Source organism: Homo sapiens, chromosome 12 (genome assembly GCF_000001405.40).
Source record: "Homo sapiens chromosome 12, GRCh38.p14 Primary Assembly".
NCBI classification, from domain to species: domain Eukaryota; kingdom Metazoa; phylum Chordata; class Mammalia; order Primates; family Hominidae; genus Homo; species Homo sapiens.
In genome coordinates this window covers 115,549,464-115,573,789 of record NC_000012.12, presented here as the reverse complement: position 1 = coordinate 115,573,789, position 24,326 = coordinate 115,549,464, and the positions used below count along the sequence as shown (strand labels likewise).

Below are 24,326 nucleotides of genomic sequence, written 5' to 3'. Positions count from 1 at the left end.
TGGCCTTAAAAAGTAATGGTAAAAACTGGAATTACTTCTGCACTTAATAAATGTATTTCCCTCTATCCTTCCTAAGGACAGGCACACTCCTGTTGACCTCCAACTCTCCAGCGGAGCAGAGACCTGGGCACCCTGGCTGGCTCAGCGAAAGAGCTGGCCCATGAAGGAATCCCTTCAAAACCGAGCTTAAGTCCTCTTTCCGGAAAGATGTAGTTGGAGTCTTTTGCCCACCCATTGCACAGACTAGCAGAAAGTCCCATGCTGGCAGAAACGTGGCCGTCCACCACTGAGTATCTCCAGAGTAAGAATGACATGCCGAATGGCTCCGTGGCCACTTTTTACATTAGGCCACCAATAGCAGCTCCTGGAAACTGATTCTAGGATATGTTAGTCCCATATTCCCTAGCCAGAGTGCATGCTTCCCAAGGGCAAGAGGTATTTTGCTGCTGTTCACTTGTCTCCTTATGTGGTCAGGTACACACGGGGTATGTGGCACCCGCCTAGTTGCTACTGAGGCTGGAGGCCAGTGGTAAGGTAACTGGGTAACAGTTTTTGGGGGTTCGGGAGAGGGAGCCTGCGGGAGGTGGGTGGGGAAGCCTGCGTTTCCAGCAGATGCCTGCGTCAGGCCTGCCAACTCCTTCAGCTCCTCCAGATTCCAGCTTCAACTTGACAAGGGCTTTCTCCTAGGCCTCTGGCCTCCACCTGGGATTAGCTTCTAAGCAATCAGAAAGCACTTAAAGATATAAAACACCGTGTAAAGATGTAAATAATTCCCAGTAATTTCACAGAGAATTAACTCTTTCCTAAGGCCGTTGGACCTTCCCTGCCCAGGTTGCCTGGCTTAGAACTGAGTAATCATGATGTCAGCGTGTGTTAGATGAGAGAATAACCTGGAGAAGGTCCTGGTCCCAGAGCCGCATTGAAAAGACAAGGGAGACTGCGGCACGGGGAAGAGGAGGGGCTTGTTGAAACATATACTCCTGAACCAATACTGAAGTTAAAGCCAAAACCAAAACTTGGGCCTGGGAAGGCTTCTGCTTTCTGTTTGAAAGTTTCTTGCTTTGAGTAAGATGTCCAAAGCAGTGTGGGTTGCGTAATACGGCAGAGCCCAGGCTCCTGAGTGGGAAACCCCTGTTTCTGCAACTTACCAGCTGAAGATCTTAGAGAAATACTTTGCTCTTATAAGACTCAGTGTTCACATCTATGAAATGGGCTGAGATGTCAATGGAGTCAAACTTACAAAATATGTTTATGTAAGGATTAAATGAAACAGTGTTCATAAAGAGCTGAGCACATCTTAAATGCCCAATTACATAAGCAATCAATAGCTATTATGGCTATTATCATCCTCTCCCACACCTCCCCATATTGGTACCTCCTGCTGCCTTCTCCAGTTGGATGGATGTTAATCTATCTTTCTGGTTGCTCAGACCCCAAACCTTGGGAGTCATCTTTGGCATCTCTCTCTTACACTGCACTGTCGACCTATTGGCTATACCATAAAATAGATCCAGAATCTACCCTCTCCCCACTTGAGTGTTGTTCCCTGTTTCCACCCTGTTCTCCCCTGGGTTACTTCATAGAGCAGGGATCAGTAACCTCTAGCCCCTGGGAAAAATCTAGCTTGCTGCCCTTTTGTTGCACAGCCATACATTAAGAATGGCTTTTACATTTTTCAATGGTTGGGAAAAAAGCAAAAGAAAAATGATATTTCATGACACAGAACAATTATATGAAACCCCAATTTCAGCATCCATGAAGTTTCATTTGGATGCAGCCCTGCCCATTCATTCACACACTGAATATGGCTGACTTGGTGTTATAGTAACAGTACCGGGCATTTGTGACAGAGATCATATCGTTCACAAAGCCTAAAATATTTACTATGTGGCCCTTTCCAGAAAATGTTTGCCAACCCCTGTTTTAGATGCTTCGTGGGCTTCCCTGTGTCCATGTTTATTGCCCCACCTCTGGCCCCTACATAGCTTTCAGAGTCATCATTTAAACGAGGAGGTATGAGGCCAGGTGTAGCGGCTTGCACCTGTAATCCAAGCACTTTGGGAGGCTGAGGTGGGAGGATTGCTTAAGCCCAGAAATTTGAGACGAGCCTGGGCAACATAGCAAGACCCCGTTTCTACAAAAATGTCAAAAATTAGCCAGGCAAGGTGGAGCACACCTGTAGTTCCGGCTATTTAGAAGACTGAAGCGGGAGGACTGCTTGAGCCTGGGAGGTCGAGGTTGCAGTGAGCCATGATCGTGCTACTGCACTCTAACCTGGGCACCACAGTGAGACCCTGTCTCTAAAAATAAAAATAAAAATAAAAATAACTGATCATTCATTCCTTTGCTCATAGCTCTCCAGTGGCTCCTGAGTGACTCAGAATAAAGGCCAACATCTTCACAATGGTCATCGAGGCCCTATGCAATCCACTCCCCAGTTCTCTTATTTCTTGGGGTCTCCTTTACCTTCTGGTCTCCTCCTTGCTTACATTGCTCCAGCCACACTGGCCTCTTTGCCACTTTTTAAACATGGCAAATAGATCTCTGCCACAGGGCCTTTGCACTGGCTGTTTCCTGACCGACAAGGCTCTTTTCCCAGAAGAAGAGGGCACATTCTCTCACCTCCTTCAAACCTCTACTCCAATCTCAATGAGACATATTCCAATTACTCAGCTTAATCCTGTACCTTGCCCCACTCCCTTTGGACCTCCTGACCCCTCTTACTCTGTTCTACTTTTTTCATTTTCCTATAGCATCCATCACCTTTTAAAGACCTAGCTAATCTCCTAATCTGTTCTGTTGATCACTTACCGACTGTCTTCTTCCATTAAGGTGGGAAGTCCTCACTGGCAGATGTTTTTGTTCAGATTTGTTCATTTCTCTACCCCAAAGCCCCAGATAGATCCACCTTCCAAATGCATGACCTGTGTGGTCACACAGGACCCCTGTGCTAAGAAGGACGCCTGCCTAGAAGGACCCTGTACTTGGCTCAGTGCTCTCTGTTGCCACCACTTTGAACTACTAAATAAGTTTTGGGCAGTGAGTCTCACGGTTTCATTTTGCATTGAGCCCTGCCAATGACGAAGCCGGTCCTGACTATAGAAACAGGTCAGGCACACAGTAGACACTCCGTGAGTATTTGTTGACTGAATGAATGATTCATATCATGATTTAGCTCCATGACTTTCTTCCTGCCTCTCTGGGCGCCGTAGCCGCCTCTCCCCCTCCGTCCCTCCCCCACCCTTCCCTTTTGAAAGAGTGTATACTGATGTAAGCGGACAAGGAGAGGAGTCAGTCCGGGGATCAGGGAGCCGGGAGAAGATCGCCTGCAGCAACGGAGAAGACACAATTACTCCAGCAACTGCCCACCGACCGCAGCTCGGAGCCTCCACTTAATGTAATTGAGTGTGAAGGCCGGCTGGAGACACAGGCGCCCCTGCTGCCCCCTCTCCATAATATAGACACTATTGGTTGCTAATTGGCGCCAGTAGGCTGGTGCTAATTGTCCTAATGCACTCTGCTTGATGGAGGACGAGGCTGCGCAGGACAGAGGCGGGGGCTCCTTGGGAAATGGTGGGGGTGGTGGGCGCCCAGCGCCAGCAGACACTGGTACAGTGTTCACAAAAGTTGGAACAGGCTTTAATTTTGCATCAAGTATTTAAGCGGGTTTGGGCTGGATATTGAGGGGGAGGTGGATCGTGGAGCTTTGCTTGCGGTAACCCGCAAGGGGACTGGGGAATAGGCCCCCTGCCATCCTTATCAATGGGTTATCCAGACGGCTGTGTCCCCAGCATTGTCTAATTAATTGTGTGAATTTCTAATAGCCCTTTTAGCCCCCTGGCTCCTCCCCCAAGCCCCCAACCCCCGCCTCCTCCATTCGAGCTGCTCCCTCTTGTTCTGCTTGTTTCTGAACACTGTGCTTCAGTGATGAGACTTGACATCAGCCACAGAGGGAGGCAGCATTGAGCAGAGGGAAATGCAGGGAAGCTGGGGATGGCCTTGAACTCATCACGTGGTCTCAAGAAACTCACCTGTCTCTTCTGGGTCTCAGTTTCCCCAGCAAGTGACCGTTGGGCTAGTGAGTGTTAAAATACTGCATATCCTCCAACTGTGGCACCCAAGATCTTCTTAGAGACTGTAGAAATATGCACATATATTTGAATATATAGTTAAATATATTGCTATGTTTAAATATATGCATATATTCAAATGTATGCATATATTTAAATTTGCAGCCAGGCTTGGTCTGCAGCTAATCTTGTTCTGCTTACTCTGAAATATATGTATATTACTACATTATCCTAACACATACTGTATTTTTACTAACGACGCAAAGGTGCAGTGTGCTGGTAAATGCTTAACAATTAGCTCTCCAGGGGAAAACATCGTGAACTATAGCAATTGCTAAGTTCCATGGTGTAAATATTGCCACCATAGTAGATGTCAGGCTGCCACTGTGATGTCACAAAAGGCAGAGTTTGGAAGAAATGTGGATTAGCAAATTATTATATAGTATTTCCACCACACAAACACAATAGATGAAAATAACCTCAAGTGTAGTGATAATAGAATAATATAAAATAATCAGGAAGCAGTGAGTTTTAAGTATTTATCATTTTTTCTTTGGAATAACTTAATTGTAAGTTCATATAATTTAATTTTTCATGATGGCTGCAGTTAATAAACAGCTACCAAAAGTTCTGAAAACTTGACAGTGGCTTTCCTGTGCCTGTACAGGCCAGACCCAGCACCTCATTGTGTGTGCGTGTGTGTGTGTATGTGTGTGTGTGTGTGTGTGTGTGTGTGTGTGTGTGTGTAGCACAGTACCCATGAATGCCATGATTTCTCAGAGGGAGTGCATAGAACAAAACTCAGTTTAAAAAGAATTCAACTTAAAATCAATACAAAGATGAATATTGAATAGAAAATGGCGTAGGTGATTTGTACATATAGTAAATATCATGAAGTTGTTACTCAAAAGACTAGATAGTTGACCTTTGAAAAACATGGATTTGAACATCATGGGTCCATTTATACACTGATTATTTTCAATAAGTATATTGAAAAACATTTTGGAAACTTGTTGCAACTTGAAAAAACTCACGGAAAAATTGCATAGCCTAAGTATCAAAGAAATTAAGAAAAAGTTAGATATGTTAACAATGCATACAATATATGTAGATACTAGTCTCTTTTATCATTTACTACCATAAAATATAAATGTTTATTACAAAAAGTTAAAATTTATCAAAACTTATGCAAACAAAAAGAACATACAAGGTGCCATTCACAGTCAAGAGAAATATAAACAAAGATAAAGATACAGTATTAAGTCATAACTGCATAAAATTAACTGTAGCCCATACTTTGCTACTGGGATAATTTTGTAGCCACCTCTGTTGCTATTGCAATGAGCTCAAGTGTTGTAAGTATCCACCTAAAATGCTATGCAACACTAATCATCATCTCCAAGTGAGCAGTGCCTCTCTCCAGTAAATTGCAGATTGCAATAAAAAGTGATCTCTCCCGGTTCTCACGTATTTTTCCTTATGTTTAGTGCAATACCATAAACCTTGACAAACACAGCGGGACCCATATGAAGTGCCACTAGTGATGCTGGAAGTGCTCATAAGAAGCAGAGGAAGGTCATGACGTTACAAGAAAAAGCTGAATTGCTTGTTATGTATCTTAGATTGCGGTCTGCCGCTGCAATTGCCCGCCATTTCAGACAGACAATTCATCTTATAAACAGATGACATAAACTTATGGTAATGATGAATACAGTACAGTGCTCTAAATGTATTTTCTCTTCCTTATGATTTTCTTTCCCTTTTTCTTTTTTTGAGGCATGGTCTTGCTCTGTCACCCAGGTTGGAGCACAGTGGTGAGATCATGGCTCACTGCAGTATAGCTCAAGCTATACTCCCATCTCAGCCTCCAAAGTAGCTGGGACCACAGGCATGCACCGCTGCACTCGGCTAATTTTTTACATTTTCTTTGTAGAGACCGAGGTCTCACTATGTTGTCCACGCTGGTCTCAAACTCCTAGCCTCAAGTGACCCTCCCATCTTGGCCTGTCAAAGTGCTGGGATTACAGGCATGAGCCACCACGTCTGGCCCCTTTATGATTTTTTAAAATAACATTTTCTTTTCTCTAGCTTACTTGATTGTAAGAATACAGTATATAATACATATAACATACAAAATATGTGTTAACAAAACCAGCTGTTTCTGTTCTCAGTAAGGCTTCTGGTCAACAGTAGGCTATTAGTCATTAAGTTTTGGGGGAGTTAAAAGTTATATGCAGTGTTTAGTGTCAGCACCCCAACCTCACATGTTGTTCAAGGGTTAACTGTAATTTGGAAGGAGGCTTGCAGGCTTCCTCTGGGTGTCTGCAACACATGTTGCTAGCAAATGAGCAAGAGTGGGAGTGGTTACGGTGGCCAGGGTTCACCTTGCTTGCTAGAAGGCATGAAATGGCCATTTCTCACCCTTTTCTTTTACTGATGATTTTGTTCTTTTTCTCCCTCTTCCCAACCCAAGGCACCTACTTGGAGTCAGAATCTCCATCTTTCTTCTCATATTTCTGTCCCTTCCACTGGCTCTTCAACCTTTCTCTGGACTTGTTTGCATTGCTGGTGATGCCAGTGGCCCATTACCATGTGCTACCTACCATATGCTTTGGGGAGAAAGAGTGAGGTGGGAAAGATCCTCTGGGGTTGTGAGGGAGACTTGACTTGAATTAGGACCAGCTTACACAAGGTGTAGGGAAATCATGGATGTTTTACATCCAAGACACCATTAGAAAAAAAAAAAAAACTACATTCATAATAGAATTTATGAAAATATTTATATTCCCAATAGATTGTATTTTATACAATGGTTCCAGAACACTGCATGTATTTTTAAGATGTATTAATATAATCCATAGTTTTCATTGGAAAATGAATACAAACATTTATCAATTTCAAGTCTCAGGGCCCATGGAAAGTCATACACTTCTATAATGACATGTAGGCCTTTAGAATTATTTTGAAATCTTGTTTTCTGATAGTCTTTGAATAAATTGGCTTTGACTAAGAAAAAGTAGAGATTCAGCAAAATACTGGTCTTATTACAACCTAAAACTGGGGACTATTAAGAGTAGGTAGTAGATTTTCCGTATGTAACAGTGGGTCTATTTGTGGATTTTTGGGCTTCTGGCAGAAGTAATTCAGAGGAAAATATTGCTAATTTTATTTTTTTAACTTTTATTTTAGTTTCAGGGGAAGATGTGTAGGTTTGCTCTACACATAAATTGTGTGTTGGGGGTGGGTGGGTGTACAGATTATTTTGTCACTCATGTAATAAGCACAGTACCTAGTAGGTAGTTTTTTAATCATCACCCTCCTCCTCCTCTCCACTCTCAAGTAGCCCCGGTGAGTGTCTGTTGTACCCTTTTTTTCCAAGACACCATTTTTCTCTCCACAAATTGTCTCAATGTGCTTTCCCCTAGATTTGTCCCATGATGCTGTCATTCTTGCTTTTCAGTTCTAAATATGGACTAGGGGCTTGCAAACTCGAATGCCCCCAGAGGGCAGACAGGGATTGTAAATACAGGAAGGCAAGCCAGCTGGGGCAAGACAAACTGAGGAGTCTATACCCCTCTACAGGGGTCGATTTGTCAGTACTGCACCAGCCTCCTGCTCTGTGGGTGGCCAGAACTCTTCATAGAAGCTGGAAGTGATGATTTGAACATGAACATTCTTAAAGTCACATGGGAGCCAAACACAGCCCAATATGGCCTGTGAAAATCTTAGACAACTCGGAAAATATAAAGAAGAAAATGAAACAATTCATTTTTTCTAAAACAATTCATGAAGTCCTGAGCCACACTGAAGAAGTCAGAGTCCCCTCAGGCCACCATATTGGAAATACTATGTCAAGAGACCAGGGCTTCAGGCGGTTCCAGCCCTTAGTTTTGTGGGTCACCCCATCTGAGGACCAAGTTACTGAGAACCAGAAGGAGGCATTCCCATACAACCCTGCACACATGGAAGATTCGTTTCAAAATATTTATAATTTTTACTGTTTTAAGTCAGTAAGTTTGAGGATTTTTTTTTTTTTAGTATAGCAAGAGATAACCAGAACATGGACTCAGCACGTCCATGATATCAGCAATTCAATTGTTTCTGCTTCTTAACTCTTAAGCATAATATTACAATGAACATTGTTGTATATTCACCCTTGCCTCTCTTTCAGATTATTTTCTTAGCTACAAAATTGTTGGATCTATAGGAGTCTGGATATTGTTGAGGCTTATGATAACTATTCTGGCAAATCGCTCTCTCAGAAATTGAACAAATCTATTTATAATAATTACTCTCCCACATTACTCTCGCTAAAAGTTGAATCAATTTATACTCTCACCAGCAGTGAATGAGAGTCCACCCCTTTGGGCACTTTGACGTATGTATTTTTAGTTACGTGAGCGTGGCTGGTTCTGAGTTGTCGAGGGAAGAAGAGGAATTGGAGGAGGGAGCCTTAAGTACCCTGGTCTTCTGACTGGACAAATGTGAAGGGAGGATGAAAATTCATTCCTAGTTGAGAGTTTGCAGTCTTGAAAGCTGAACTGCAGTTTTGCTCTTTACTGAAGCCATAAAAAGGATTTGCTGAGTCAATGTCTTCCATAAACAAGAGCTCAGTGCCTGACCCTGGTGAATATCCCTTGCCTTAATTCATAAATTCAGGTGTATTCTCATGGTATCTTTCTTTGTTGTTGTAATAATCATACAGAAATGACATAAAACACAGCCATTGGCCTCTCCAGGGTATGTGATGACATGCGGGCTTGGCGAATGTTGCTGTAATTATAAGCCAGGATTTGAGTGGTACAGCCTGAGACAGAAGTGACCCAGACTAGCTGGGGCCAGGAATCTGTGGGGCAACAAAAGCTGCACAGCAAAGGAAGTGACCTAGAAAAGAAATAACAACAGAAAAGGTATGAGAGAAAGATAAGGGAAGGTCCTGTATCCCTCACAAGCAGAAGAATCCGTTCACAAGTTGAGCCTGGAGAGAAAATAATTTTCATCGGCTCCTAGCACCTGTTTATACCGTTACGACAACTAGATTTGCTTCTTCTTGTTGCTGTTATTACCATTATAGTGTAAAGGCTAGAAATACCACTTATTTAGCACTTATACCAAGCACAGCATCCAGTTCAGCACTATCTCACTAAATCCTTTGAAGTGTCTATGAGAAAGACTGTATACTTGTGCCCACTTGACACATGAGGAAACTGAGCCTCCGAGAGGTAAATTGACTTGTCCAAGTGTTACAGTCCGTTTCCCAGCCCTGGAGGCAGCGGGATGATGTTGGTGGCAGGGAGAGGTTTTCTTCCTTTCTCATTGCTTTCTCTCATTTTTCATTTTCTTTCCTCATTTTGCTTCTACGTGAAAGGGAATATTTGTTAACACTGAGAGGAGATATAAATTCTGCTAGCAAAATTGCACCTCAAAATTCCTCAGTACGGTGGATGCAGGACTGGCTACATAATTTGTGGTACTCAGTGCAAAATGAAAATGCAGAGTCCCTGCTCAAAAAGCAGGGAAAAGGGCTATTGAAGTTACAAAAATATAAAGCCACTTCCTTTCTTCTGTGGTCTTTCTCTTGACTTATCATGGTATTCTAGGGAAATGCATTCTATCTAAAGAAAAAAAAGTTACATTATTAGAATAATTTTTTTTAGAATTCATATTTTGATTCTGCAAAGCCAGTTTTAAATGCAGATACCAGAGCACCTGGCATTTCACTCTGATGCAGAATCACCAAAATTGCCCAATTTGTGCATTGTAGCTTCTTCCAGGAGAGTGCCTGAAGCTGGCCAGAAGAGTTCAACATAAGCCAGACTTGGGAAGGTTGGAAGGAGGAACAGAGGGTCATACTAGGGACAGAGCCAGTTCAAGGGCATGCTTCTCAGGCATGGTATTCTTAGGTCGGTACATGCTCTCCCAGGCATCCAGGAACCCTACCCTGCCATGCAGGGTGTGCACAAGCTCATTCAGGTCTGATGGCTGCTAGGTCCTCCTGCCATCCTCTCTTCCCTCCTGCCATCCTTGCTTTCCATTAGCCCCAACTCATGATGGAAGGGTAACCCTCAAGGGTACTGCAACTTCTGCACCAGGATGTGCTAGATACCTGAATCAGTGTAAACGAGAGGCTTGTCCCTATTGAATTGCAGCCTCTGGCCAGTCTCCAGCTGGGCAGAGGGTGGTACTGCCAGCCCAGAGTGAGATGGCAGTCACCATGATCCAGGTGGACATGCAGCAAGGTGCATGCTCCTACCCTGACTCTCCATACTCAGGCCCCATTGTGAGTGGAAGTTAAACTGACTGCTGGGCAGGGCAGGGAGGAGAACGTGGAGGTGAAATCAGAGGAGAGGATGGCCAAGGAGCCAGCCCAGGAAAAGGATGAGGTGGCGGGAGGTGGGATAGTTCATGAGCCCAGGATCCAAGGCACCATGTGTGCTCCCTTGTCCACTGGACTTGATTTACACAGACCATTCGATTCAGCATTAGCCATAAGGTATGAGCCTCAAGCATGGGGCCTTCCTAGTGCAGGGCCCTGTGCCAATGCACTGGTCACATGCTCTTGTAGCTAGTTCTGGGCAGGGTGGACAATGACAGCAAGAGGAAGTTGTGTTTATACCACCTCTGGATTCTCAATCTTAATGCTCATCTCCTTGTAATATTTTTTCCCTAGGGGGTGTTTACATTCATCATGGCCCAGAAACAAGGATATAATAAAAGGGTTGCTTCTAGAAAGTGCAACACATAGTAACATTAATATTTATAATAAAACTAATAATGATTAGTGTCATTTATTAAGCACTTACTATTCACCTGGCATTGTTCCCAGGATTTATACAACATGATCTGATGAGTATTATTTTTGAGCCCATTTTCAGATGTGGCCACTGAGGTACAGAGAGGCTAATGAACTTGACTCCCAGATCTAGCAGCTGGTAAGTAGTGAAGCTGCCATCATGACCTTGAGCAGCCTGGCTTGGGAGCACACACTTACTCATTGTGCCTCCCTAAGCGTTTGTTGAATGACTGAGTGATGGCTTTCAACAGAGCTGGAATCAGAATAGCATGAGAGGTGAAGAAATGCAGAATTTGTTGTAGGTGCTGGTTGAGTTAGCAATGGAATGTTGAGGCTGTGCAGGGTTCTCCATCCTACAATTCTGGGAGAGAGTGAGACAATCGGGGGTTTGATGGGCTGAACATCCTATTCCCATTGTTTGGGAAGAGAATATGTGATGGATAAGAACAGTATCACTGGTCCCTAGAACACCACAAGGACCACAAATAGCAGAGGGAAGAGGGAGGAAGCCAGGGGAGCTTTCCTTGGGCTCTGGAGGTTAAGGCTGATGCTGAAGCCTCGGAGACAGGATCGAGTGGGAAACACAGATGCCTCCTTTCCAAGGCAGCTGGGCCTGCCCCGCCAGGATATCTGGCATCTGGAAGGGGAGATGGCAGCATCTGGTATGACATAAGGGTCACACCAGCTCCCCTTCCCTTTGCCTCAGCAGTTGCTTAGATTAATCCTTTCTCAACACACCTGCCTGCCTGTGCTGACATTGTTTCATCCAGAGTAACATGCGATTATCTTTGTTACCATGATGGGGGTGACCATGCAATCTAATCATTGCTGGGCATCCACCCTGTGTCCAGCCCTGGGCCCGGCAGGGATGACCTTGCTGGGAGCCTTTCAAATAACACAATGAAACAGATTCTACTATTCCCATTTTTACAGATAAGGAAAACTACGCTTTAGAGGCTCGCCAACTAATACAAAGCAAAGTCTGGACTCTAGCCTGGCACTTGTCCTGACTGCAAACCTCATGCACATCACAGTTACACCTAGCCACTTCCTGGAGCAGGGTCAGGAGCTGGTTAACAGCATGTCCTTCGGTGCCACATTGACTGGGGCCTATTCCTGGCTTGGGCGACCAACTGTCCTAGTTAGCATGAGACTGAAGGGTCTTAGCTTTCAGTACTAAAAGTGGGACAGTCCTGAGAAAGTTCCTAGCTCCTGGCTGAATTGGGCAACTTAACCGCTTTGTGCCTCAGTTTCCTGATCTGTACAGTGAGGATAATGATAGTGTTTCCAGTGCATGTAAAGCATTTTAGAACAGTACCTGACTTACAGTAAGTCTATGGGTTAGCTAGTTTCACTGATTTTGTTATTGCTGTTGCAGTTGCCAGCTCAAAATTTTAGAAGCAGTTTGAATACTGTTGTTAAAAGCTCAGACTTTGCAAACAGGTAGATCTGGTGCACCCCCTGCTCCTCCCTGGGCTGGCTGTGTGGCCTTGATCTGTGTTGCCCAACAGCTTGGCTCTGCCATTGGATGAAGCTAATGGTCTTGGCCAGATGGTGCAGGTAAAGTCTTGGGCACAGTGCCTGGCACAGGTGAGGCCTCTGTGCATAGTAGTAGCTTGGATTATTACCAGTTGCCTTCCTGTGAAAGCTTTCACCTTCTCCCTCCCTTTCTATCTCTTGCTTTGCTCCATCATCCTTTGAGGCCTCAGTGCTAAGTCATCAAGGGAATCTGAAACGACAATCCCAGACTTGAGTTGCACTTGTTTCTCCCAAAAAGAAAGGATTTCAAGAATCCCACCCCAAACCCTTGTCTGTGCGCAACCCCAAGCTCCTTTGATGGGGTTGGAATTCATCTAGCTTGGATTGCTCTGCTCTGGAGGAGTTGAGGTTCAAGTGCCTTGTGGCTGAGGGACCAGTTGGCTTCCTCTTGACTATTTAGGGTGCTAAATTCTGGGAAAGGCAAGAACTACATGCAAAGATTAAGTTAATTCCAAATGAAAGTGAATCTCCTCTATGGCTAGGAGTTGAGTCTCTTTGAGGTGATGTGTCTTACAGGGAGTGGTCAAATTTTCCATTCATTCACTCATTCATTCATTCATTCATTCATTCATTCTCTTCACTATTACCCACTGCATGCCCAGCTCTGCCTAGACTTTAAAAATGAAGTAGATGATGCCAATTAGGCCTCAACCTATTTTCCTAAAGAAATTACAATTTTTTAAACAATAAATGTCCCAGTTTATAAGGATGAGAAGATGAAATAATCAAATGTCTTGCAATATTTAATCTATTAATTAGTTATAGAAACTATATTTTAAATTTCTTACTACGTGGCTGGGCATGGTGGCTGACACCTGTAATCCTATCATTTTGGAAGGCCGAAGAGGGTGGATCGCTTGAGCCCAGGAGTTCAAGACCAGCCTGGCCAAAATGCTGAAACCCCATCTCTACTAAAAACACAAAAATTAGCCAGGCGTGGTGGCACACGCCTGTAATCCCAGCTACTCAGGAGGCTGAGGCATAAGAATCGCTTGAACCTGGGAGGCAAATGTTGCAGTGAGCCGAGATTATGCCACTGCACTCCAGCCTGGGTAACAGAGTGAGACTCAGTTTCAAAAAATGAAAATAAAAAATAAAAAATAAAAAATAGAAATAAATAAATAAATAGATTTCTTACTATGTAACACAATACATTAATTTACAAATATCACTTCCTTGCCATCCCCCACCCCCATCACGTTTCAAAAAACTGTTCCTTCGAACTCTTCCCACGCATCTTCACAGTGGTGTCTTTTTCATCACTGAGGATGCTTTTTCAGGCCTCACCTAGTAGCCCTGATGGATCACCTTCACGTCCATCTATGTTGTTGGTGACACAGTCCTTTTTCTCATCTCGGCATGACACCATCATGAGAGATGTTATTCTAGCCCACAAGAACCCACTCATGTATTCGCTACACATTACGATAGATTTGTTTTATTTTTCCTGTAGATTTATGTTTATTCTGTCTCTTCTACAAAGGCTTATTAACAACAATTTCTAACACTTTCCCTTGGTAGATCATATTCTTGTGACTATCTACTAAATCTATGTTAATATTTTTGCCTCCCTCTCTCTTTTTAAGTGATTCCCTCAAGTGACTTACAAGTTTCTACAAATAACATTGACTTAGGTCATTTCAGACTGACATGTTGTACAGAATAAGGAATTGGGAGTGCATTACGCTCTACATATGCTATATGCAGTATGAAAACCTTTTTAAGGCCTGCAGCGTGCAGATGATAGTAACAAATGCTATATGGGAAGGCTTAATAGATTGGTTGGGCAGACAGGCTTCAATATCATCATTACCATCATCGCTATCATTAGCAGTCACCATAGCAACAGTAAATTCAACAATACAAAAGCAATAAGGACTGTTTCACTCATGTTGCTGGGATATAATATTTAAGGAAAAAAAAGAAAAGTCAGGTAGAATCTCTTCCCAAAGTTAAGGTTTGCTCTGGAAAGCCCACTTGGGAACTTTCCAAACTCCGAAACACTTACCTGAGGTTATAGGAAATTGGGGTTCCTTTTGTTTACCCCAAGTGTTCAGCACAGACTGTAATGTTCCAAGGGCTTAGGGGTTTGGAAGCCTAAATCCAGAATCAGACAATGTAGTGGAATTAGTCCCACTTAAAGGCAACCATAGGGTGGGCTCTGTGCTGGTACCATTGCATAAGAGATGTCATTTCCCACCCCAGCAACTCAGGATACAACTAATGGATCCTCTCATTTAGACTGCGGGGTGCTGGGAGCAGTGGCTCACACCAGTAATTCCAGTACTTTGGGAGGCCCGAGGTAGGAGAATCACTCTAAACCAGAAGTTTGAGTCCAGTGTGGGCCACAAAGGGAGACCCTGTCTTTACAAAAAAACTTAAAAAATTAGTCAGATGTGGTGGCTAATTTTTTCAGTTTTTTGTAAAGACACACTGTAATCTCAGTTACTTAGGGGGCGGAGGTGGAAGGATCACTTGAGTTTGAGGCTGCAATGAGCTGTGATCATCCCACTGCACTGCACTCCAGCTTGGTGACAGAGGGAGATCCGGTCTCTATAATAAATAAGTAAATAAATAGCAGGGAACAGACTAAGAGATGTAAGGACTTAGCCCAACGTCACACAGCTTTCTAAGGCCTCCTTCAATCCACTGGGCATCCCCAGATCTTATCCTTTGCTATTCTCCTTCCCTTTATTTTATTCTCAAACACAACACACTATTCTCTTTGTAGCAGAAATCACATTTTGCTACATTTTGCTATTTTATTCTCAAACACAACACACTGTTCTCTTTGTAGCAGAAATCACATTTTGTCTTCATGTGCTGAAAAACCAAACCAAACCCTTATCTCGTGTCTGTTTCTCCTGGCCAGTCTCTAAGCTGTGCCAGGGGAGGGTTTTCGTCTGTCTTGCTTGCTGAATGTCTAGCATCTTGCATGAGGCCCGGCACATAGCAGATGCTTAATAAGCAGCCTCTATGGTATGAAGTAAATATTAGACATGTTTCTACTGCAGGCTCCAGTCCAATAATGGAATCTCAGAGGGGACAGTGCTCCTCTAGAGTTACAAGACTGGGTCCGTGATGCCTTTATCTGCGTGAGTGTGAGAACGGCTCCCTGATGCCATCACCACTGTCAAAATTATCATGATAATGATAATGATAATGATAACATAATATTCCAGCTCTGGGAGAGAGAGAACCCTTTAGCTTCCTGATAGCTATGCTGAGGCTAAGCCGGATAAATGTCCTCTTTGCCCTTCATTGTCAGTGAGTTGACCTCCTCAGCTGTTGAATCTCAAGTGGAGAGTCTCAATTTGAAAGGGTTTGAATGGACCCAAAGGCATTCACATGGAAGGCAGTTCTAGAGCCTGGCGCATCTCCTCCCATGCGCCTGGTTCAGCATTCTCCATCAAATGTTAGAGGAAAGGGTGGGGAGGCCTGGGGAAAAAATGTATTACCCTCAAGTAAATATAAGAGCAGAGAAAAAGCAATAGCCTGAGTGTTGGACACTGCATTGTGGACTTTATATCCATTCTTTCCAAGTGTCCCAACAATTCTGTAGGTACACATTTTGACCTCCTTTCTTTTTTTTTCTGTTGTTTTGTTTTTTGTTTGTTTTTTGTTTTGTTTTGTTTTTTGATTGAGTTTTACTCTGTCACCCAGGCTAGAGTGCAGATCTCGGCTCACTACAACCTCTACCTCCCAGGTTCAAGTGATTCTTGGGCCTCAGCCTCCTGAGTAGCTGGGATTACAGGTGCGTGCTGCCATGCCTGGCTAATTTTTGTATTTTTAGTAACGCTGGGGTTTCACCATGTTGGTCAGGCTGGTCTCAAACTCCCGACCTCAAGTAATCTGCCCACTTCGGCCTCCGAAAATTCTGGGATTATGGGATTGCAGGCGTGAGCCAACGCGCTGAGCCATATATAGTGATATAAAAGCTCAGAGGTGTTGAGTGACTCACCCAGGGTCACACAGCTAGTGAGAGGCACAGCAAAGATTTGAGCTGAGATTGTCCAAATCTGAAGCCTGTTCTCTCCTGGAAACAAGACCTCTGCCTGAGCCCAGTCTGTGGCATAAATACTGACTACCTTCTGTCAGCTGCAGGAAGTGGGAAATTAGTTCCCTTTGCCTCCTTCTGTGGAAAAGGGGGCTGAGGATTGGGTAGACTGATGGGGCTGGGGGGAGGCCCCCCGATCAACCAATAGGGTTTTAATTAGCCCTGCAGAACCTGGCATTAAGGAGTGAAACCCTTTGACCCAGCAATTGCACCATTAGGAATTTATGTAACAAAAATACACACCGGGACAAAGTTATAGGTATGGGATATTCATAAAGCATTGTATGTTAGAGCCCAAACTGGACACAACCTAAGAGGCCAGCATAAAGGGAGGAAGAGAACCTCTCATAGCACACAATGACAGGGGAGCACAGCTGCTGAGAATGCAGGTCCCTAAGCATGAGTTTGAGTCTGGATTCTATCACTTCCTAGCGGTGTGACTTTGACATGATGTGTAATATGATCTTTTTTGTAAAGAACTAAATATGAGAAATATTAAGTTCTGTCTATAATGTAATTTCTTTCTTTCTTTTTTTAAATCTGCTCTACAAAGGCAGGTCTATGTAATGTAATTTCTGAAAGGATACATCCATAGTGGGTTAAATTGTGTCCTCCCACCCGCCAAAATTCACATTCACCTAGAACCTCAGCATGTGACCTTATTTGGGAATGAGATTTTTGCAAATGGATCTTGAGATGAAATCATCCATTTAGAGTAGGCCCTAAATCCATTGACTAGTATTTTTATAAGAGAAAGAAGAGGGAGATTTGGACACAGTAAGATACATAGAAAATAAAGTGACAGGCATGGTGGCTCACGCCTGTAATCCCAGCACTTTGGAAGGCCAAGGTGGGTGGATCACCTGAGGTCAGGAATTCAAGACCAGCCTGGCCAACATGGTTAAACCCCCTCTCTACTAAAAATACAAAAATTAGCTGAGCATGGTGGTGCAGGCCTGTAATCCCAGCTACTCCGGAGGCTGAGGCAGGAGAATCGCTTGAACCCAGGAGGTGGAGGTTGCAATGAGTTGGGATTGTGCCACTGTACTCCAGCCTGGGTGACAGAGTGAGACTCTGTCTCAAAAAAGAAAAAGAAAGAAAGAAAGAACTAAGAAAGAAAATAAGATAATGTAAAGACAGAGGCAGAGCTTGGAGTGATGCATCTACAAGTCCAAGAACGTCAAGGATTGCTGGGAGCCACAAAAACTGGGAGAGAGGCATGGAACAGATTCTTCCTCCAAGCCTCTGGAAGGAACTGTTCCTGCCATTACCTTGATTTTGGACTTCTGGTCACCAAAACTGTGAGAGAATAAATATCTGTTGTTTTAAGCCACCCAGGTTGTGGTACTTTGTTATGGCAGCCACAGGAAATCAATACACATACTGAAATAATGAACACTCGCTACAAGAGCGTGTGGCTATGATGCTTGTAGGTTTCCAGGTTTTAGTGTTCCTAATTGTTGGGATATTTTAAGACCGTAAAATTGTATTTTTAAATAGTCAGCCATAAAGTTCAATCAGGGACTCTGGGTTTCATTCAGGCCCACAGAAGTGGGTTGAGAAAGAGAGAGAGAGAGAGACTGAGAGAGAGAAGGAGAGAGATTCTAGCCCAACTACTGGCTGCTGTCCCCATATAAACCTCCCATGGTCTTGCACCTTCACCATGAAGCCTAAGTCCTCAGCAAACAGTTCCAGCCCATCCTTCCTGCCTCATGTTATAGTCCTTGGCTTCAAAACCTCAACCTGGGACACTCCTGGGGGGAAGGCAAAGCCCTTGGGCGGGGGGAGGGGGTGGGAAATCTTTTTTTTTTTTTTTTTAATAAAGTAAAAACTGTCCTGCTTGCATACAAGAAATTGTAGAAAAAGTTTATTTGCTGATCATTGCTCGAATCTTGAAATACAATCAGTTCACAAGGATGTAACCAATTTGAATGCCAGTTGTGACTCCATGCTAGCCCACCACAGTCTAATTTGACATTATTAGTACAAATATATACATAAATTAATTGCCATTAGCACATGAACTACCTTCTCACTTTCCAGCTTAATGTTGCTTCCAGCTTCAACCATTCATTGTGGAACTCTTAACTAGCCTTATTGGTCAAATGTATTCTGTTCAACTCAGAGAAGCACGGAAGTGGTCAGTAGGATTGGTAGTCCTTACTTGGTCATCACAACAAAGGCTGCAGTTTTGTACTTAAATCTATAGTGGACGGTGATCTTTTTTCCTATCCAGGCAGAGTACCTAGGGACAGCTATGAATTCTGCAAATGCAACGAGAGGGGACAAACACGACAAAGAGGCAGCATGACCAGGCCACTGTGAGTCCTATATTTCAACAAGGGTAGGCCAGCCCAAATGGCTTTCCTTATCTACTTGAAACAATGGTATGTTTTTCTTCTGAGAAATCTCACCCATGGTTGCATTTCATTGCAGCCAGTAAAATTTAAAGAATTTAGAGGAAAAAATTTAAAGAATTCCCCAAATTATTACATTTTTGGAAGAAGCATTACATATAGGTTCTCTGAAACACTATGTTTTTTCATTGTCTCCCCTGCCCCTGAACATGTAGGTGTTTGAATCACTTGTATTTTTTCTTTGACAACTTTTCTTAAAAGTCTACACCTAAACCTTGTGTGTCTACCTCTGGGAAGGTCCTGACAGCTTTATCTGATTTTGCAAAAGTCCATCGCTAAGCTTCCCCCAAAAAGGATAACAAATTGCAGCCTTAAAGATGCCAGACCCATCAGCATTTCTTTATGATACCAGGTACATTTGCCTCTGTGATTTTTCTCATCCTATCCTCTCCACTAGAAACACCTATCCTCTTTTCTCTGTCCTAGAAAATTTTCATCCACACTTTGAGGCCCTCACACAGATTGAGTCAACTGATACATTCCTAGCTCTGGCCAGGGATGGGAAACATGATGGTGCAAATAGCAGACATGGTCACGACCAACCTAACAAGTGGGTTTCATTGCCATCATCCATCAAAGGTGAGGTTCAGAGAGGTGAAGTCAGTTGGCCCAGACACACAGCCAGAAATTGGCAGAGCCATGGGGCCCAACACGAATGCTAAGCTGCTTCAACTTTTCTTCATATGGCACCCAGCTTATGAACATTTCAAGTGGTCCATAAATATTTGCTGAGGAGGAGAGAAAGATAAATAATATTTGTACATCAACTCATGCCATGTGGGCTGCTTACATTTCTCACTTCATCCTCTCAACAAACCAAGGAGGTATTATTCTCCCTACTGAACCAATGAAGAAAGTAGAGTTCAGAGAGGTGAAACCACTTGCCCAAAGCCACACAGCATGAATGTGACAGAGCTGGGATACGAGGCGGGTCCTGTGTACTTAACCATTAGACCTGTCTACCTCTCACACTGCTAGAATCTCCTTGTTTCTGCAGGGTGAACTGAAACCTGGAAAACATGCTCTGCTCTTGGCCATCTCAAAGGTGGGAGGAGCCAGAGAAAATAGAGAGTCTCTTTGTTCTATCTCAAAGGCAAATAACATGAGTTCCCAAATTCAGGCCAATAAAGCAAATTTGTTATGGCCACTTCAGAGGAGGCACAGCGGCTTGTCTGGGTCAGGGGATGCAGTGGACATGAACGCCTAGATTGGCTAACAAGCAGCACAATTATGGTTCTCAGTGGATTCACACTGTTTTGAAAGGCCATCAGGCACTGAGAGGAAACAAGCAAAGGAGCGTTACAAATTCATTACAGAAACTAACTACTTCCATTTGTGCATGTGGCAGAGGACTCGGTGGCCAAGTAAAGGTATGACTCCTTTGTCCATAACTCTGCTCTCTGGAAGCCAGGTCCTGGTCAGGCCACACCTTGTGGGAGCAGAGAGACAAATCACTTAAGACTGGGGACCTTGTTTTGGAAGCTGGTGGCTTTATTGGTGCAGGGGTGAGGGCTTTGGGAGGTGGTCAAGTCCTGCCTACCCTTGAAGGAAGTGTGTCTTGCCTAGAATCCCTGGTGCCCTGAGCGGCCATATTTTGTGCCATAGAATATTCTCTTGTTATTAGGGCAGGGCCCCAGACACCTTGATTCATTGAGTGACCAGCAACTGTGACCAGAAATTGACTGGCCTGCGTTGAATAGATGACGATGCCAATGCAATTCCTGTTTCATCAAATCGGATTTGGGACAATGAGACACTGTGCCAGGGGAGCTGTGAAAGCTAACTTGAAAGACCAGGAAATAGATGTCAGATCAAAGTGGCCATTTTGGGCCACTGACAACTGATGTTGTGGAGAAATTGACCTCATAAGAGGAGAAAAAATAGCCAAGAGACAGAGAGAAGTGGAGATGCATGATAGAGAGGTTGGGGACCTGGGGAGAGGGGAGAGAGCAAAAGAAAAGGCAGCTAATTGGTTCGAGGTACCACTTTTTTTTTTTTGAGATGGAGTCTTACTCTTGTTGCCCAGGCTGGAGTGCAGAGGCATAGTCTCCGCTCACTGCAGCCTCTACCTCCTGGGTTCAAGCGATTCTCCTGTCTCAGCCTCCAAGTAGCTGGGATTACAGGTACCTGCCACCACACCCATCTAATTTTTGTATTTTTAGTAGAGATGGGGTTTCACCATGTTGGCCAGGTGGGTCTTGAACTCATGACCTCAAGTGATCCACCTGCCTTGGCCTCCCAAAGTGCTGGGATTACAGGCATGAGCCACCGCACCTGGCCAACCCAGGTTCCATTTTGTATTAAAAAAAATCAAAACAAAACAAAAAAAACCCTCACTTTTCCTATAGGTCACTTGAGTAAATAAATCTCTGTTTCAACCAATAGGATTTTAAGAAATTGGTGGTCATCATTTTCAGCGTAGGAATCTCAACCCCATGCCCGTAGGAGCCAGGCAAGTACTGTAAATGCCTGGTACAGGCTGGGCACAGAATAAACAGGGAGCACTGAATCCTGGAGAAACAGAAGCCACATGCCCTGGAAGGAGGGGAAGTCCTTACTGAGTTCTGGCCAGCATTTGTCGTAAGAGGATGTGGGTTTAGATGCTGTAAAGCTGGATTTTAATGAACCTCCTCTAATATGTAAATATAGATAACTGACCAGACGGAGTGTCTCATGCTTGTAATCCCAGCATTTTGGGAGGCCAAAGCGGATGGATCACTGGAGGTCAGGAGTTCGAGACCAGCCTGGCTAACATGGCAAAACCTCATCTCTACAAAAAATACAAAAATTAGCTGGGCATGGTGGCGGGCTCCTGTAATCCCAGATACTTGGGAGGCTGAGGCAGGAGAATTGCTTAAACCTGGGAGGCAGAGGTTGCAGTGAGCCTATCGCACCACTGCACTCCAGCCTGGGTGACAGAGTAAAACTGTTTAAAAAAATAATAATAAAAAAATAAAACTAAATAAGTACTGATAACTAATTTTAAAAATATGATGAGGGCCACACAAGCTCACTTGCATATCCGCTGCACCCTTTGGCTTACTTTTCCAGTTTTTGGCATAGATTCTGGAACCTTTTTAACAACTGAATGGCAGTCAGCATAAGACAAATGTATCTGAGCTACTCACAGGCATTTACGAAGCAACAGTCATTGTTTACAAAGTATTTTCCCCACTGTACAGACTCTGAAACTGGTGTTATTGTGATTTTTCAATTGAATTGTACTTAATTCAAAACCGTGATTTAAAAATGTTACTGGTAGGAAGTGAGTAGAGTTTCTATAGAATAAAAAAAAATCAGGCTGGGCGCGGTGGCTCACGCCTGTAATCCCAGCACTTTGGGAGGCCGAGGCAGGTGGATCACGAGGTCAGGAGATCAAGACCATCCTGGCTAACAAGGTGAAACCCTGTCTCTACTAAAAATACAAAAAATTAGCCGGGCATGGTGGCGGGCGCCTGTGGTCCCAGCTACTCAGGAGACTGAGGCAGGAGAATGGCATGAACCCAGGAGGCGGAGCTTGCAGTGAGCCGAGATCGTGCCACTGCACTCCAGCCTGGGTGACAGAGCAAGACTCTGTCTCAAAAAAAAAAAAAAAAAAATCTAACCAAGTGTCTTGCAAACTACTCAGAGACCTAAAGTCCAGCCTGGAACGTCATCCTTGATACATTGGTCTGCAAAGCAGCCTAGTGTGAATGGTCTTTTTTTCTTTTTTTAATTAATCTTACATGGTGAAACCCCATCTCTACTAAAAATACAAAAATTAGCTGGGCATGGTGGCACATGCCTGTAATCTCAGCTGCTTGGGAGGCTGAGGCAGGAGAATTGCTTGCGCCTTGGGAGGCGGAGGTTGCAGTGAGTCGAGATCACTCCACTGTACTCCAGCCAGGATGACAGGAGTGAAACCCTGTCTCAAAAGAAAAACAAATCTATTTTGCTTATTAAACTGTAGTTTTTTTCCTAACAATTTATAAGCTTACCACTATGTATCTGAAAACATCAAAATTAATTTCTTTTCAAATGCTTTACTTTTTACTGATTTTTTTCATAACTTCCCTTTTTCCGGATCTGATTTAATTATGTTTTACTTTATTTCCTTGATTCTGCTGTCTGACCCCCTTAGAGATTAGAAATTTCATATTGTAGTTTATTTGCTTACCAACATGCCTGGGTGATGAAGTATGGCCATCAGTCATATATGTGGAGGCAATCTGCATTTATTTTTAGAAAAAATTATTTGGTAATTAGGGTGTATGTTCATCTGGTATCCTTCTCCTGAAGGCAGTTCTATGCTGAGTTTGGAGACCAGTTCTGAGACCTGGGGTTTGCAGTTGGTTGTCAATGAAACTTACTGAAGTCCTTTTTTAACTTTTCCTATGCATAAAATGAGGATAATCGTGCCTCCCATGGTTATTGTGAAAGTGAAAAAGAGAATGAAGGAGAAGAGGAGCTGTTTAAAGTCAGTATAAATATTAGATATGAGGTCAGTATTACAACTGCATACATTAAAAACACGACTTCTAGAAGCTCAGGACACAGTCAGTGTCCACCCAATATTGAGTCATTTGCTTGGCACAAGGAAAAAATTCAGCTCAGCATGGAGAGGAAAAGCCTTTCTATGGCCTTCATTCATTTGGGAAGTATTCATCACACATCTATGTGTTTTTGTGAATACAGGGGATCCAAGGTGAATCATGACAGCCGTGGTTCCTGCCCTTATAGAGCTTACTGTCACACTATGATGACGAAAGTCAGGGAAGTCTTCCTGGACAAGGTGTCATCTAACCTGAGATCTGAGAATTAATTGGAGTTAGGGGAAATGGGCTGGAATTGGAGGAGTGGGAAGAGCAATCTAGGAGGTGGGAAGAGCATGGGCAGTAGCTCAGAAACGAGAGAATCTATGGAGTTTTATTAGTCACACAAAGCTGTGTAAAAATGCCATACTTCAAAATGTAATAGAGCAAAATAACAAACATTTATTATATCAGTATTATGGGTTTGGAATCTGATGTATCTTTGCATAAGGCCTTCACTGTTGGCTGGAGGTATCAATTTCTTGCTACTTGGGCATCTTCAGAAGAACTACTAGCATCATGGCAGCTTGCTTTCATTGCAGGAGAGAGAGAGAGAGCGAGAATATGAGTATATAATAAATTTCAGAGTCCTTCTGTAACCTCATCTTGGGATGACATCCCATCACTTTTGCCATATTCTGTTCATTAGAAGTTAGTCACTACTTATAAGTGCTAGCCAAACACTGGTACTCACGGACATAAAGATGGCAACAATAGTCACTGGGGACTGCTAGAGGTGGGAGAGAGGGAAGGGGTTGAAAAACTAACTATTGAGTACTATGTTCAGTACCTGGGTAATGAGATCAGTCATTACTCAAACCTCAGCATCACACAATATAACCATGTAACAAACCTACGCATGTATCCATTGAATGTAAA

At 43.5% G+C, this 24,326-nt stretch overlaps 1 long non-coding RNA gene across 2 annotated transcripts in view, besides 2 other annotated features; it reads left to right on the top strand.

The window, feature by feature from the left end:
• Window positions 1-24,326, top strand: part of LOC105370003 (uncharacterized) — a 389,555-nt gene that overhangs the window by 189,276 nt on the left and 175,953 nt on the right. The window lies entirely within an intron of this gene.
• Window positions 970-1,059: an enhancer, noted in NCBI's record as "active region_7087". NCBI's record gives its function as "activates an Ori minimal core promoter by ATAC-STARR-seq in GM12878 lymphoblastoid cells {active_cell/tissue: GM12878}" and the evidence as "EXISTENCE:reporter gene assay evidence [ECO:0000049][PMID:35858748]".
• Window positions 1,130-1,179: an enhancer, noted in NCBI's record as "active region_7086". NCBI's record gives its function as "activates an Ori minimal core promoter by ATAC-STARR-seq in GM12878 lymphoblastoid cells {active_cell/tissue: GM12878}" and the evidence as "EXISTENCE:reporter gene assay evidence [ECO:0000049][PMID:35858748]".